Source organism: Homo sapiens, chromosome 2 (assembly GCF_000001405.40).
Source record: "Homo sapiens chromosome 2, GRCh38.p14 Primary Assembly".
Classification (NCBI taxonomy): domain Eukaryota; kingdom Metazoa; phylum Chordata; class Mammalia; order Primates; family Hominidae; genus Homo; species Homo sapiens.
The window spans coordinates 234,632,917-234,647,495 of record NC_000002.12 but is presented as its reverse complement, the minus strand read 5'-3'; the positions used below and the strand labels follow the sequence as shown (position 1 = coordinate 234,647,495).

At 44.6% G+C, this 14,579-nt stretch overlaps 1 annotated feature.

Annotated features, from left to right (window-relative positions):
• Window positions 5,846-6,453: an enhancer, noted in NCBI's record as "OCT4-NANOG hESC enhancer chr2:235549687-235550294 (GRCh37/hg19 assembly coordinates)". NCBI's record gives its function as "activates a minimal SCP1, AML or CMV promoter by ChIP-STARR-seq in naive H9 embryonic stem cells {active_cell/tissue: H9 hESC(naive)}" and the evidence as "EXISTENCE:reporter gene assay evidence [ECO:0000049][PMID:30033119]".

The window sequence follows — 14,579 nt, the reverse complement described above, 5'->3', positions numbered from 1 at the left end:
GGAGGCAGTGGGAGTAGGGAGGCAGTGGGAGTAGGCAGCAGTGGGAGTAGGGAGGCAGTGGGAGTAGGGAGGCAGTGGGAGTAGGCAGCAGTGGGAGTAGGGAGGCAGTGGGAGTAGGGAGGCAGTGGGAGTAGGCAGCAGTGGGAGTAGGGAGGCAGTGGGAGTAGGCAGCAGTGGGAGTAGGCAGCAGCGGGAGTAGGCAGCAGCGGGAGTAGGCAGCAGTGGGAGTAGGGAGGCAGTGGGAGTAGGGAGGCACGGGGAGTAAGGCAGCAGTGGGAGTAGGGAGGCAGTGGAAGTAGGGAGGCAGTGGGAGTAAGGCAGCAGTGGGAGTAGGGAGGCAGTGGGAGTAGGCAGCAGTGGGAGTAGGGAGGCAGTGGGAGTAGGGAGGCAGTGGGAGTAGGCAGCAGTGGGAGTAGGGAGGCAGTGGGAGTAGGGAGGCAGTGGGAGTAGGCAGCAGTGGGAGTAGGGAGGCAGTGGGAGTAGGGAGGCAGTGGGAGTAGGCAGCAGTGGGAGTAGGGAGGCAGTGGGAGTAGGGAGGCAGTGGGAGTAAGGCAGCAGTGGGAGTAGGGAGACAGTGGGAGTAGGGAGGCAGTGGGAGTAGGGAGGTAGTGGGAGTAGGGAGGCAGTGGGAGTAGGGAGGCAGTGGGAGTAGGGAGGCAGTGGGAGTAGGGAGGCAGTGGGAGTAGGGAGGCAGTGGGAGTAGGGAGGCAGTGGGAGTAGGGAGGCAGTGGGAGTAGGGAGGTAGTGGGAGTAGGGAGGCAGTGGGAGTAGGGAGGCAGTGGGAGTAGGCAGACAGTGGGAGTAGGCAGCAGTGGGAGTAGGGAGGTAGTGGGAGTAGGCAGCAGTGGAAGTAGGGAGGTAGTGGGAGTAGGGAGGCAGTGGGAGTAGGCAGCAGTGGGAGTAGGGAGGCAGTGGGAGTAGGGAGGCAGTGGGAGTAGGCAGCAGTGGGAGTAGGGAGGCAGTGGGAGTAGGGAGGCAGTGGGAGTAGGCAGCAGTGGGAGTAGGGAGGCAGTGGGAGTAGGGAGGCAGTGGGAGTAGGCAGCAGTGGGAGTAGGGAGGCAGTGGGAGTAGGCAGCAGTGGGAGTAGGCAGCAGCGGGAGTAGGCAGCAGCGGGAGTAGGCAGCAGTGGGAGTAGGGAGGCAGTGGGAGTAGGGAGGCACGGGGAGTAAGGCAGCAGTGGGAGTAGGGAGGCAGTGGAAGTAGGGAGGCAGTGGGAGTAAGGCAGCAGTGGGAGTAGGGAGGCAGTGGGAGTAGGCAGCAGTGGGAGTAGGGAGGCAGTGGGAGTAGGGAGGCAGTGGGAGTAGGCAGCAGTGGGAGTAGGGAGGCAGTGGGAGTAGGGAGGCAGTGGGAGTAGGCAGCAGTGGGAGTAGGGAGGCAGTGGGAGTAGGGAGGCAGTGGGAGTAGGCAGCAGTGGGAGTAGGGAGGCAGTGGGAGTAGGCAGCAGTGGGAGTAGGCAGCAGCGGGAGTAGGCAGCAGCGGGAGTAGGCAGCAGTGGGAGTAGGGAGGCACGTGGGAGTAAGGCAGCAGTGGGAGTAGGGAGGCAGTGGGAGTAGGGAGGCAGTCGGGGAGTAAGGCAGCAGTGGGAGTAGGGAGGCAGTGGGAGTAGGGAGGCAGTGGGAGTAAGGCAGCAGTGGGAGTAGGGAGGCAGTGGGAGTAGGGAGGTAGTGGGAGTAGGGAGGCAGTGGGAGTAGGCAGCAGTGGGAGTAGGGAGGCAGTGGGAGTAGGCAGCAATGGGAGTAGGGAGGCAGTGGGAGTAGGGAGGCAGTGGGAGTAGGCAGCAGTGGGAGTAGGGAGGCAGTGGGAGTAGACAGCAGTGGGAGTAGGGAGGCAGTGGGAGTAGGCAGCAGTGGGAGTAGGGAGGCAGTGGGAGTAGGCAGCAGTGGGAGTAGGGAGGCAGTGGGAGTAGGGAGGTAGTGGGAGTAGGGAGACAGTGGGAGTAGGCAGCAGTGGGAGTAGGGAGGCAGTGGGAGTAGGGAGGCAGTGGGAGTAGGGAGGTAGTGGGAGTAGGGAGGCAGTGGGAGTAGGCAGCAGTGGGAGTAGGGAGGCAGTGGGAGTAGGCAGCAGTGGGAGTAGGGAGGCTGTGGGAGTAGGGAGGTAGTGGGAGTAGGGAAGCAGTGACTACAGAAGGACATGGTGAGGGGTCCCAGTTGAGATGGAAATATCCTACATCTTGACTGTATCTGTGTCAATATCCTGGTGCTGATGTTGTATTATAGTTTTGTAATAGGTTGCTATTGGGGGTAACTGTGTAAGGGGTACACAAAATCCCTCTGTATCATTTCTTAGAAGTGCATGAAGCTACAATTATCTCAAAGCAAAAAATTTAAAGACAAAAAAATGAACCTCATTCTTCTGCTTCCAGCTAGAGTGGCTAGCCAGGTTAAATAGTTTTGATATTTCTAGAACCTAGCATGGGACTCCTTTCATACACTGAAGTGAAATATCTAGTGAAAAATTGATCACAAGTTAGAACAGCCTGAAGGGCTCTGTCCATGGAAATGTCTCCTGTCCACTGTCCCCTTCATCTCAGCCTCTGTGGGGACACAGCAGAGTGAGGCTATATTATAAGATAAAGCCTTTTGTTATTTGTGATTTCTTGGGCAAGTTCTTCAACTGCTTGTTTCTGTTAGTAAAATATACACAATAGTACCTGTTTTCTGAAGTTTTTATAAAGAGTAAATATGGAAAAGTGGGAAACAATGGGTGTTCATAGCTATGATTCAGATTAAACAATAGGTAGTAGATTATTGTAATGGAATAAAGAAGGCAAAATTAGTAGAAATATAAAATTTACTGAAAATTATACAAAGGAGAAAATTGTTCTTTGTTCTGTTTTTCTCTTTATGCCTTCTTTGGATTAATCAATTATTTTTATCAATCCCTTGTTATCTCCTTCTATTGGCTTTTCTTTGTTATACATTTCTCTATTATTCTTTTAGTGGTTACTATATATTATCATACACATCCTTCACTTATTAGATATACCAGTAATTTTTTTTATCATTTCCAGGAGAATGTAAAGAGCTTACAACAAGTTAAAGCTGTTTATCTTACCTGCCTTTATACATATATATATATTTTGAGACTAAGTCTCGCTCTGTCACCAAGGCTAGAGTGTAGTGGCATGATCTCAGCTCATTGCAACCTTTGCCTCCCAGGTTCAGGTGATTCTCCTGCCTCAGCTTCCTGAGTAGCTGGGATTACAGGCATGTGCCACCACACCTGGCTAATTTTTGTATTTTTGGCAGAGACAGGGTTTCACCATGTTGGCCAGTTTGGTCTCGAACTCTTGACCTCAAGTGATCTGCCTGCCTCAGCCTCCCAAAGAGCTGGGATTACAGGCATAAGCCACCATGCCCTGCCTATCCTACCTGACTTTTGTGATAACATTTTGCATTCTGATTTTATATTTTAAGTCTCAATGCTACATTATCATTTGATACAGTTGATGATATGTTAAAATTTACACACACATTTGCCTCTTTTAATGCTCATTATTTCTTCCTGTTTTACTGTGCATTTACCTGGAATCAAAAAAATCCTTTCAGTATTCCTTTCTCTTTTTTTGGTAGAGTCAGGGTCTTTCTATGTTGCCCAAGCTGGACTCAAACTCCTGGGCTCAAGTGATCCTCCTCCCTCAAATTTCTGAGTAGCTGGGACTGCAGGTGCACACCACAGTGCCTCGATTAGTATTTCCTTTTTTAATATTAAATGACCATGAATTCTGTCAGGATTTTCTAAATCTAAAGATGTTTTTATTTCTGATTCACTGTTGGAGAATATTTTTGCTACATACAAAATTCTACATTAGTAGCTGTTTTCTTTCAAAACATTAGGTATACCAATTCCATTGCTTTTTGGTTCCCACCGTATTGGTTGAGAAATCAGCTGTCAGTCTTATTACTGTAGCTTTAAAAGTAAAGTCATAGCAAAAATATTTCCTAGTATAAAATAATTCCTATAATTCTATTTTACACACACACACACACACACACACACATATACATATAAACTAAAGTTCTTTTACATGTTCTAAGTCCATGGATACGTTTGTTAAGGTTCCAAATTAAAATGAAGAATGTAAGCTAATTCATCAATCTAGAGTACAAAAGATAGAAACAGGGTGATCACACTAATAGACCACATTCTTTTACATATTACAAACATACTAAGTTATCCATTATGCACAGATTTGGTTTTAATTTTTAAACCATTTTGCATTTAATTCTAACACTTTCTGGAGTTAAAAGATTTCTATTTGCTAAAAAAGACAGTTAAAATCTTATTTTACTGAGGTTACATAATTCTAAAATATTTGGGAGTTGATATATATAAGATTATGGAAACTCAATACATTAAAGTTAACTGAGATATCTTAGGGCCAAAGATTTTAATTGTGTAAGAGATCTTCTTATATACTAATTGAGCCAAAAGAGCTCCTTTTTAGAAATACTGGATCATGAGCCTCAAACTTGTAACAAAGTTGGTCTCAAAGCTTATGTAGCCCTTTATACCAGGAGTCACGATATTTTCATTAATTTTTAATTCAAATGTCAGATGTCAACAACTCCTACCCAGGATGATTACTTGTTTGGATTTTCTACTTCCTTTTTATTTTAAAGATATTTAAACACATTCTTAGTCAAGCTATATGGACTTTGTACTTTATGAGATTTTTAAACTTTTTTTAGAATTATGCAATTCTTAGGAATTTTTAATATTTTTATTTAATATTTATTTATTTATTTATTATTTGAGCTGGAGTCTCCCTCTGTCACCCTGGCTGGAGTGCAGTGGTGCGATCTTGACTCACTGCAACCTCTGCCTCCCGGGTTCAAGCAATTCTCCTGCCTCAGCCTCCCCCAGTAGCTGGGACTAAAGGTGCACGCCACCACGCCCAGCCAATTTTTTTTTTTTTTTTTTTTTTTTGTATTTTTAGTAGAGACGAGGCTTCACCACGCTGGCCAGGCTGGTCTCAAACTCTTGACCTCAGGTGATCCGCCCTCCTCAGCCTCCCAAAGTGCTGAGATTACAGGCATGAGCCACTGTGCCTGGCCAATTCTTATGAATGTTTTTAAAAGCTATCTGGCTAATTTCAGACATCCCACATGACTTTGCTGGAGTTGTGGGTCATAGTATTTTAGGTTATTATGACACTCCATTCTCCACATCACCCTCCTCCCTCCCTTGGACCTTGGGTGGCTTCTGCTTATAAACTTCCTGTGACAATGGAAGTATAGAGAAGAGGAGAGTGATCAGGAGCAGGATCTGAAAATTGCCCTTAACTTCCAGGAAAGGAGCAATTGGACATTGGGACATTGGGATTTTTTTCTTGTTTTTATTTATTTATTTTTTAGACAGAATCTTGCTCTGTCACCCAGGCTGGAGTGCAGTAGCATAATCTTGGCTCATTGCAACCTCCACCTCCCAGATTCAAATGACCCTCATGCCTCAGCCTCCCAAGTAGCTGGGATTGCAGGCACATGCAACTGCGTCCAGCTAATTTTTGTATTTTCAGTAGAGAAGGGGTTTCACCATGTTGTCCGGGCTGGTCTCGAATTCCTGACCTCAGGTGATCCACCTGCCTTGGCCTCCCAAAGTGCTGGAATTACAGGCGTGAGCCACTGTGCCTGGCCAACACTGGGATTTCTTACAGGTTGCTCCACAAAGTTCTCTAGTTGTAAAAAAGGAGTCAGGATTCAGGCAAGAACCCTGTCTCCAGAAACAAAGGCAGTGAATTTGGGGTGAATCACTCGAAGTTGGGGACAGAGTGCAAAAGGGTGAGGAACACCTTCAGTTATGCCATTTTAATGTTCTGCTATGCTGATGCTCTTGTTCCATCCCCTTTATGTGGCTTGGCTGTTGAAGAGATGAGTGTTTAAAAGGAGAGTGTCATGTTGTGGAAAGAACATTGAACTCAGAGCTAAAAGATCTGGGCTGGAGTGAGCATTGCTTCCATCACCTAACAACTCTGTTTCCTTGGGCAGGTCACCTAACTTCTGAACCTGCTCTTTAAAAGTTAAGTTAGAAATCTCATAGGGTGGTTACAAAACACAAATGGAATAGAAACATGAAGAATATCACCCCCCAAATGCTGAGTTCATCCTTAGACTCTTACAGTCCATATTCATTGAATTAATGGATTTAAATAGGCAGCCATTGACTTGCAGATGACCCTCATTCCCTGCTGCGCTGAAAATTGACTTTCCCTGAGATTGCTCTGGCAGCCCCTGCTATGAGCCCTTGACATCAGCAGGGAAAGCTTAATGGAGTCTGGCCTATTATGTTTTCCACGTGTAATGCTTACCCTCAAGTTAGGAATGAGTGGAGAATGTTGTTCATTCTTCAGTGGCATCCCAAAACTATTAACATTTCTCCTTAGAGACTATTCTCTACCAAAGATACCTTCTCTGCTTGGTCTTATCATTCTTGTTTTGCTATATTTGTACACATATCTTGGTCTTTTCCATGTCCCAGTACCTGTTGTCCTTGATGTTGTAAGCCTTTTTCTCTCCTCTTATTCTCTGTTCAATGTCTTGTGAGAATGGTCGAGTTTATGTACAATAACTTTTCCAGTGCTCACCTACCTTGGCCTTTGCCTCTACCACTTAGCTAAAATGACTCATTCAGGCTCTCTAGTGATGTCTTGCTTGCCAAACCCAGTGATCTTTTCTTAGTTAATATCTTACTTGGGCTCCCTGAAGCTATGGAGACAGCTAACCAGACTTTCTTGAAACCCTCTCTTTTCTTTGTATGCCTGGTTTTGTGTGATTGTGGCTCTCCAGACACTACTGGTATAGTTCCATTCCTGTCTAATGTACACATTCCCCAAGGATTGGCCAATGTCTTTTGTTTTTTTCTTCGTTTGTGCTTTCTCAGAAAATCAAATCTGCTGGGCTCAGTGGCTCACACCTGTAATCCCAGCACTTTGGGAGGCCAAGGTGGATGGATAGCTTGAGCTCAGGAGTTTGAGACCAGCCTGGGCAACATATAAGACCCCATCTCTACCAAAAATACAAAAAATAAGCTGGGTGTGGTGGCGTGCACCTGTGGTCCCAGCTACTTGGGAGGCTGAGGAGGGAGAATTGCTTGAGCTCAGGAGGTCAAGGCTGCAGTAAGCTGAGATCACAACACTGCATTCCAGCCTGGGTGACAGAGCCAGACCCTGTCAAAAACAAAAAAATCAAATATTCCATAACTTCAACCATTACCTCTGTTCCAATGACTTAAAGGCTACATCCCCACTATCTTATTTGCTAGATTCATTTAACACATCTTGTATAGGGCTGCAGAAGATAAAAGAATTGAGACTTAGGTCATGGGAGAAAGGCAGGAAACAAAGGAGTGGTAAGGAGAGTATTAAAAAGAACATCATGCCAGAACATCTGGGCATGGTGGTTTATACCTGTAATTCCAGCACTTTGAGAGGCCATGGCGGGCAGATCACTTGAGGTCAGGAGTTTGAGACCAGCTGGGCCAACATGGTGAAACCCCGTCTCTACTAAAAATGCAAAAATTAGCCAGGCATGGTGGTGGGCACCTGTAATCCTAGCTACTCAGGAGGCCGAGGCACAAGAATTGCTTGAACCCAGGAGGCAGAGGCTGTAGTGAGCCAAGATCGCACCACTGCACTCCAGCCTGGGCAACAGAGCGAGACTCAGTCTCAAAAAAGAAACAAAAACAAAGAACATAATGCCAAAATAAATTGAACTTAAATATGTTCAACACCTATTTAAAAAATTCTTAAATTGACTGAAAAACAAATTCCATTTATATATGTTTATAAGAGGCCCATGGAAAACAAAAGTGGCATATCTGAAATGCCTAGTGTAAAATTAAATAACTAAAACTAACTCAAAAAATAAAAAGAACAAACAGATGTGTAAAAATTGAATACAAAGAAAGCAGGAATAAAGTACATGTAAGTAAAATTCAAGAAAAAATTTATGGGACCAAAGGACCGTTTTCAATTGCTAAAGGATATAATTTACAGTGATATACAATTGCTATGAATCTTTCTCTGAATAATATTACATCAAACTTAAAGGTCAAATCATTAGAAAATCAAGAAGCAGCAGCAAGAAGTTAGGCAGCAGTGGGTAGATTTTCACATAGCCATGAGGTAGAATTTCAGCCATGCGGTAGAATGTTCTATGCCCATATGTTGAAACTAATGTGCACACAAAAAAGCTTACATTATTAGCTTTTCATTTATAGGAGGAAGAGATCAAGATATATCAGGCATTAAGAAGGCTTTTCTTTCCCCAGCACAACCTTGGATAAGTCACTCAGATTCTGCTTGAGTGTTTCAACCTATGCTACACAGAGGAAATATATGGCCTGGAACAGTAATGGATGAATGACATTGAAGGCTGTTTTGAAGTTGAAGAACAACCTAATTCAATGGCCATGGAGCTTCAGCAGTATTGAGCTATTAGTTGTTAGAGTACATTTAGAAATTTTAAATCTAGATGCTTGGGAAATGGAATATCATATTTACCTGAGCAATAACATTGATATGGAATGTCACAAGACAATTTGAGAAATCTCCAGGAAAACACTAATTTGACAATAATAGTTTGCACTTTTCTCACATTGAGTCCATGGCTTTTATAATGCCAAACTATAATCATGCCCTTGGGAAGACTAATGGGAATTAGGAGAGTTAATTATTAGTGGAGGCAAGAATAAGATTCAGAATGTTGTGTAAAACTGTCGACTCTCAAGGTTAGCCGTGACCTTCAGTTTCATCCAGTCCAACCCCTTGCTTAACTCTTGAATCCCTCTAGAGGATTCCTGCTGGGGGGTTGTGCCATTGGCAGCAAAGTCATTACAATTTGATGCAGTCTATTCTAACCTTTGTAGTGCTGACCTTTCAAAAGCCTTTATTTTGATTCTGTACTTTCTACTTACAGGTTCCAGCTGTATAATAAATAATCAATTGGAAAAAGTCTAACCTCTTTTCCACATGTATATTAGTTAGAGACAGAAACCACACCATTCATTGGAACAGGGAAAATATAATTTAATGTATTGCTAATTACAGAAAGTGGTTAATTACCTAAAAAATAAAAAAGGACTGTAAGAGGTCAAGAAGCAGGTACAAAGGAGCAGCTACTTATTGCAGGACAAAGAAAGTGGATAACAGAGGAACAAAAGACCAAGAGAGCCCCACCCCACACCAAGGCTGAGATTCAGACCTCACTGAAGAGAGCATGGCTACAGCAGGAACACACAGCCTGACATATGCAAGAAACTTGGCAGAGGATGGCCGGGCACAGTGGCTCACGCCTGTAATCCCAGCACTATGGGAGGCTGAGGCAGGTGGATCACGAGGTCAGGAGATTGAGACCATCCTGGCTAACATGGTGAAACCCCGTCTCTACTAAAAATACAAAAAAATAGCCGGGTGTGGTGGCGTGTGCCTGTAGTCCCAGCTACTCAGAAGGCTGAGGCAGGAGAATGGTGTGAACCTGGGAGGCGGAGCTTGCAGTGAGTTGAGACTGTGCCACTGCACTCCAGCCGGGTGACAGAGTGAGACTCCGTCTCAAAAAAAAAAAAAAAAAAAAAAAAAAAAACTTGGCAGAGGACACAGGCTGGTGCTGGTCTTTAGAAGCAGCTGCCATTGACAGAGGTTGTGGGCAGGTGGGAGTGGCTCAGAAGTGGCCACTGGTGGAGAGTATGGCTAGAGAGAGTTCCTCTGCAAAGGTGCTGGGCTCCTGTGTTAGTCTGTTTTCATGCTGCTAATAAAGACATACCCAAAACTGGGTAATTTATAAAGAGGTTTAATTGACTCACAGTTCCACAGGGCTGGGGAGGCCTCATAATCATGGTGGAAGGCAAAGGAGGAGCAAAGTCACATCTTACATGATGGTAGGCAAGAGAGCTTGTGCAGGGGATCACCTATTTATAAAACTATCAGATCTTGTGAGACTTGACTTATTCACTACCACAAGAACAGTATAGGGGAAACTGCCCCCATTATTCAATTATCTCCACTTGGCCCTGCCCTTGGCATGTGGGGATTATTACAATTCAAGGTGAGATTTGGGTAGGGACACAGCAAACCATATCATTCTGCCCCTGGCCCTTCCCAAATCTCATGCTCTTACATTTCAAAACCAATCATGCCTTCCCAATAGACCCCCAAAGTCTTAACTCATTTCTGCATTAACTCAAAAGTCCACAGTCCAAAGTCTCACCTGAGACAAGGCAAATCAAAAGCAAGGTAGTTACTTCCTAGATACAAGGGGGTACAGGCATTGGGTAAATACACCCATTCCAAATGGGAGAAATTGGCCAAAACAAAGAGGATACAGGCCCCATGAAAGTCCGAAATCTATAGTGCAGTCATTAAACTTTAAAGTTCCAAAATGATCTCCTTTGACTCCATGTCTCACATTCAGGTCATGCTGATGTAAGAGGTGGGCTCCTGCAGCCTTGGGCAGCTCTGCCTCTGTGGCTTTGCAGGGTAGAGCACCCTTCCTGGCTGCTTTCATGGGCTGGTGTTGAGTATCTGTGGCTTTTCAAGGTGCATGGTGCAAGCTGTCAGTGGATCTACCATTCTGGGGTCTGGAGGATGGTGGCCCTCTTCTCATAGCTCCATTAGGAAGTGCCCGAGTAGGTACTCTGTGTGAGGGCTCCTATCCCATATTTCCCTTCCACACTGCCCTAGCAGAGGTTCTCTATGAGGGCCCCACCCCTGGAGCAAATGTCTGCCAGGACACCCAGGTATTTCCATACAGCCTCTGAAATCTAAGTGGAGGTTCCCAAACCTCAGTTCTTGACTTCTGTGCACCCAGAGGCCCAACACCATGTGTAAGCCACCAAGGCTGGGGGCTTGCACCCTCTGAAGCAATGGCCTGAGCTGTAGGTTGGCCACTTTTAGCCACAGCTGGAACTGAAACAGCTGGAATGCAGGGTACCAGGTTCAGAGGCTGCATAGAAAAGGGGGTCCCTGGGCCTGGCCCAGGAAACCATTTTTCCTTCCTAGGGCTCCAGGCCTGTGAGGGGAGGGACTGCTGCAAAGGTGTCTGGCATGCCCTGAAGAAATTTTCCCCGTTGTCTTGGTGATTAGCATTTGGCTCCTGGTTACTTATGCAAATTTCTGCTGCCACCTTCAATTTCTCCCCCAATATGGGTTTTTCTTTTCTACTGCATTGTCAGGCTGCAGATTTTCTAAACTTTTATGATCTGTCACCTCTTGAATGCTTTGCCACTTAGAAATTTCTTTCACCAGATACCCTAAATCATCTCTCTTAAGTTCAAAGTTCCATAAATCTTTAGGGCAGGGGCAAAGTGCCACCAGTCTCCTTGCATAGCAAGAGTGACCTTTACTCCAGTTCCCAACAAGTTCCTCATCTTCATCTGAGACCACCTCAGCCTGGATTTTATTGTCCACATCACTATCGGCATTTTGGTCAAAGCCATTCAACAAGTCTCTAGGAAGTTCCAAACTTTCCCACATTTTTCTCTCTTCTTCTGAGCCCTCAAAACTGTTCCAACTTCTGCCTATTACTCAGTTCCAAAGTTACTTCCACATTTTTGGGTATCTTTACAGCAGCACCCCACTCTACCAGTACCAATTTACCGTATTAGTTTGTTCTCACACTGCTAATAAAGACATACCCAAGACTGAGTAATTTATAAAGAAGTTTCAGTGACTCACAGTTCCACATAGCTGGGGAGGCCCACAATCATGGTGGAAGGTGAATGAGGAGCAAAGTCGCATCTTAACATGGCAGCAGGGAAGAGAGGTTGTGCAGGGGATCACCTATTTATAAAACCATCAGATCTTGTGAGACTTATTCACTACAACAAGAACAGTATGGGGGAAACTGCTCCCGTGATTCAATTATCTCCACCTGGCCCTGCCCCTGACACATGGGGATTATTACAATTTAAGGTGATATTTGGGTGGGGACACAGCCAAACCATATCAGGTCCCATGCTGAATAGACTGCAAAGTGGAAGAGTTTCTGCTGCTGTGGCCTGATAGGGTCACTCCAGCACCCTCTGTTGATGAAGCCTAACATTCCAGCAGCTGGAGAAGGAGAAATGTTTACAAGGTCCAGCTATAGTCCCACAAATCAGGGCAAAGAAAGTTGGTGGATTTGGACCTGGGAGATGCTATGGCATCCAATACAACAGCATTCCTTTTATAATATAAAGAGACTCAATATGTTTTTCTAAGTCCTCCATTTGTTCTTTCACTCCACACCCTCTTCAAAAATCACCTCTAAATACATGATCTCAAATCCAAACCTAATATTTGGACCTGGGAGATGCTATGGCATCCAATATAACAGCATTCCTTTTATAATATAAAGAGAATCAATATGTTTTTCTAAGTTCTCCATTTGTTCTTTCTCGCCACACCCTCTTCAAAAATCACCTCTAAATACAAGATCTCAAATCCAAACCTAATATTTTCCCAAACTGTAACTCTGTATTTCCAGTAATTTGCTGGTTATCTACACTGGAGTCTCTCATAAATACTTAAACGCATTACATGTGGAGTTACTTTAGTTTTCACCCAACTCTTTTCAGTAAAAATATTTTTCCTGTCTTCATCTTATCCCAACATGGCAGATAATCTCCCTCATAGCCTATCAATATGTTGTTCATCTCACTTTGTCTTGTAAAGAATTTTTTCTCCTTTCTGACTCAAACTACCTTAATTCTGATTTCTTCCTGTTAGCTGCCAATCTGATCTTCCTGTTTCTAAGTTTCCCCTCAGAATCACTATATACATTACTATCCCCATTACTCAGATCATTAATTTCTTCTGCTCCAAAACCTTCAATGACTTTCCATTGCCTACAGTTAGCATTTCCAAGATGTATTTCACCTGTTCCAGTACTGCTTTTTGTTAAAAGCTCTTTTAACTTTAATTTTCAGTATCCACTGTACATCAGGAACTTCCAAGAGCAACCATTAGAATGTAGTAGCAATCAGCTGGGCATGGTGGCTCATGCCTGTAATCCCAGCACTTTGGGAGGCCGAGGTGGGCGGATCACCTGAGGTCAGGAGTTCAAGACTAGCCAGGCCAACATGGCAAAACCCCATCTCTACTAAAAATACAAAAATCAGCTGAGTGTGGTGGTGGGCACCTGTAATCCCAACTATTTGGGAGGGTGAGGCTGAAGAATCACTTGAACCCAGGAAGTGGAGGTTGCAGTGAGCTGAGATTGCACGACTGTACTCCGGCCTGGGCGACAGAGCTAGACTCTGTCGGGGAAAAAAAAAAAAAAGAATGTAGTAGCAATCGAGGGGAAATGAGGGCAGAATCCCTACTCCTGGATTTACCTGTTGGGGACAGGTATGCCTCACAGGCATCAGTCTCTCCATCAGGAGTCAGAATGGTGATATCAAAAAGAAGGCAATGTCTCGTCTCCTTTAATGGAAAAATATTTGTGCGTCACCAGAAGCTGCCTCCTGGGGAAATATTTATACAGAGATTTTATTAATGACGAGAGAGGTAAATAGTTCTGGATGTTTAAGACAAGGCAAACAGGTTTTCTTTGTTTTGATTCACCTTGTTTGCATGTTTCTATCCTCAGGGTAAAATGTTTTTATTGGTTCAGATTCTGTTTAACTTGGAATTAGATGTGTTTGTCTGCACGAGGAGCTCGGGTTTAAGGGTTCAATTTCTAACACTCCCCTATATAACTTGAGTCCCACCTCAGCACCCTGTATCCATGAGGGACGTCAGCGAACTGGACATAAAAGTCCATTCTGTGGCTGGGCCAGTACTTGGTTCAGTGGCTTAATTCGGGCCTTTTTGATTAGACTGGAATGGAGAACTCAGCCTGGGACTGTAGGCCCAAGTGGAATTTTCCACTTCCCCAGGAGTCTGAATTTGGGGGCAAGTACTCTATGCTATAAGAAGAGAAAGAAACAAAGACAGGGCTTTCCTCTACAAAGAAGCCCTGAATCCAGTTACCCTGGAAGGGAGGCTTTTTATGTGAAGTGAGTAGATGGGGTAAAAGAACACATACTGTGCTAACTCACAAGAGACAGATGTATAACACCAGAGTGCTTCTTTCTGAATTTATCATGGGAAAGGTGGATGGAACATGACTGATGGTACACAACCCCCTGCCTGTTCTCTCCTCTCCCAATCCTATTCTTTGTCCTGTTGAGAGCTGGCACCAGCAGCAGTGGCAATGGGACAGAGCACAGGAATTCGGGAAGACTGACTTGGCTGGTGGGAGAGAAGATCTGGCCACATAGACAGTGACATGTTCAGGAAGAGGCTGGATCAGAGTTTCAAGCAGCTGCAGAGCGTAAACAGCTCACACAGACACACAGGCAGACTTGGTGCAAGAAGCCTAGGGAGACTCAAAGAAAATAAACACATCTGCAAAATGTTCAACTGTGGTCAAGTCTATATACTGGAATGCTTTAGAACTGGCAGAAAAAAGATAAGCCATTAACTACATGCGTATGGGTGATTAGGAAGACAGTGTAAACTATGACTCTTCTTACAGCTTTAACGGTACAGGATTAGAAACTATTACAATATTGGGGGAAAAAAAAACATGAAACCCACAAATTAACCAAGTAAATGACTTTTA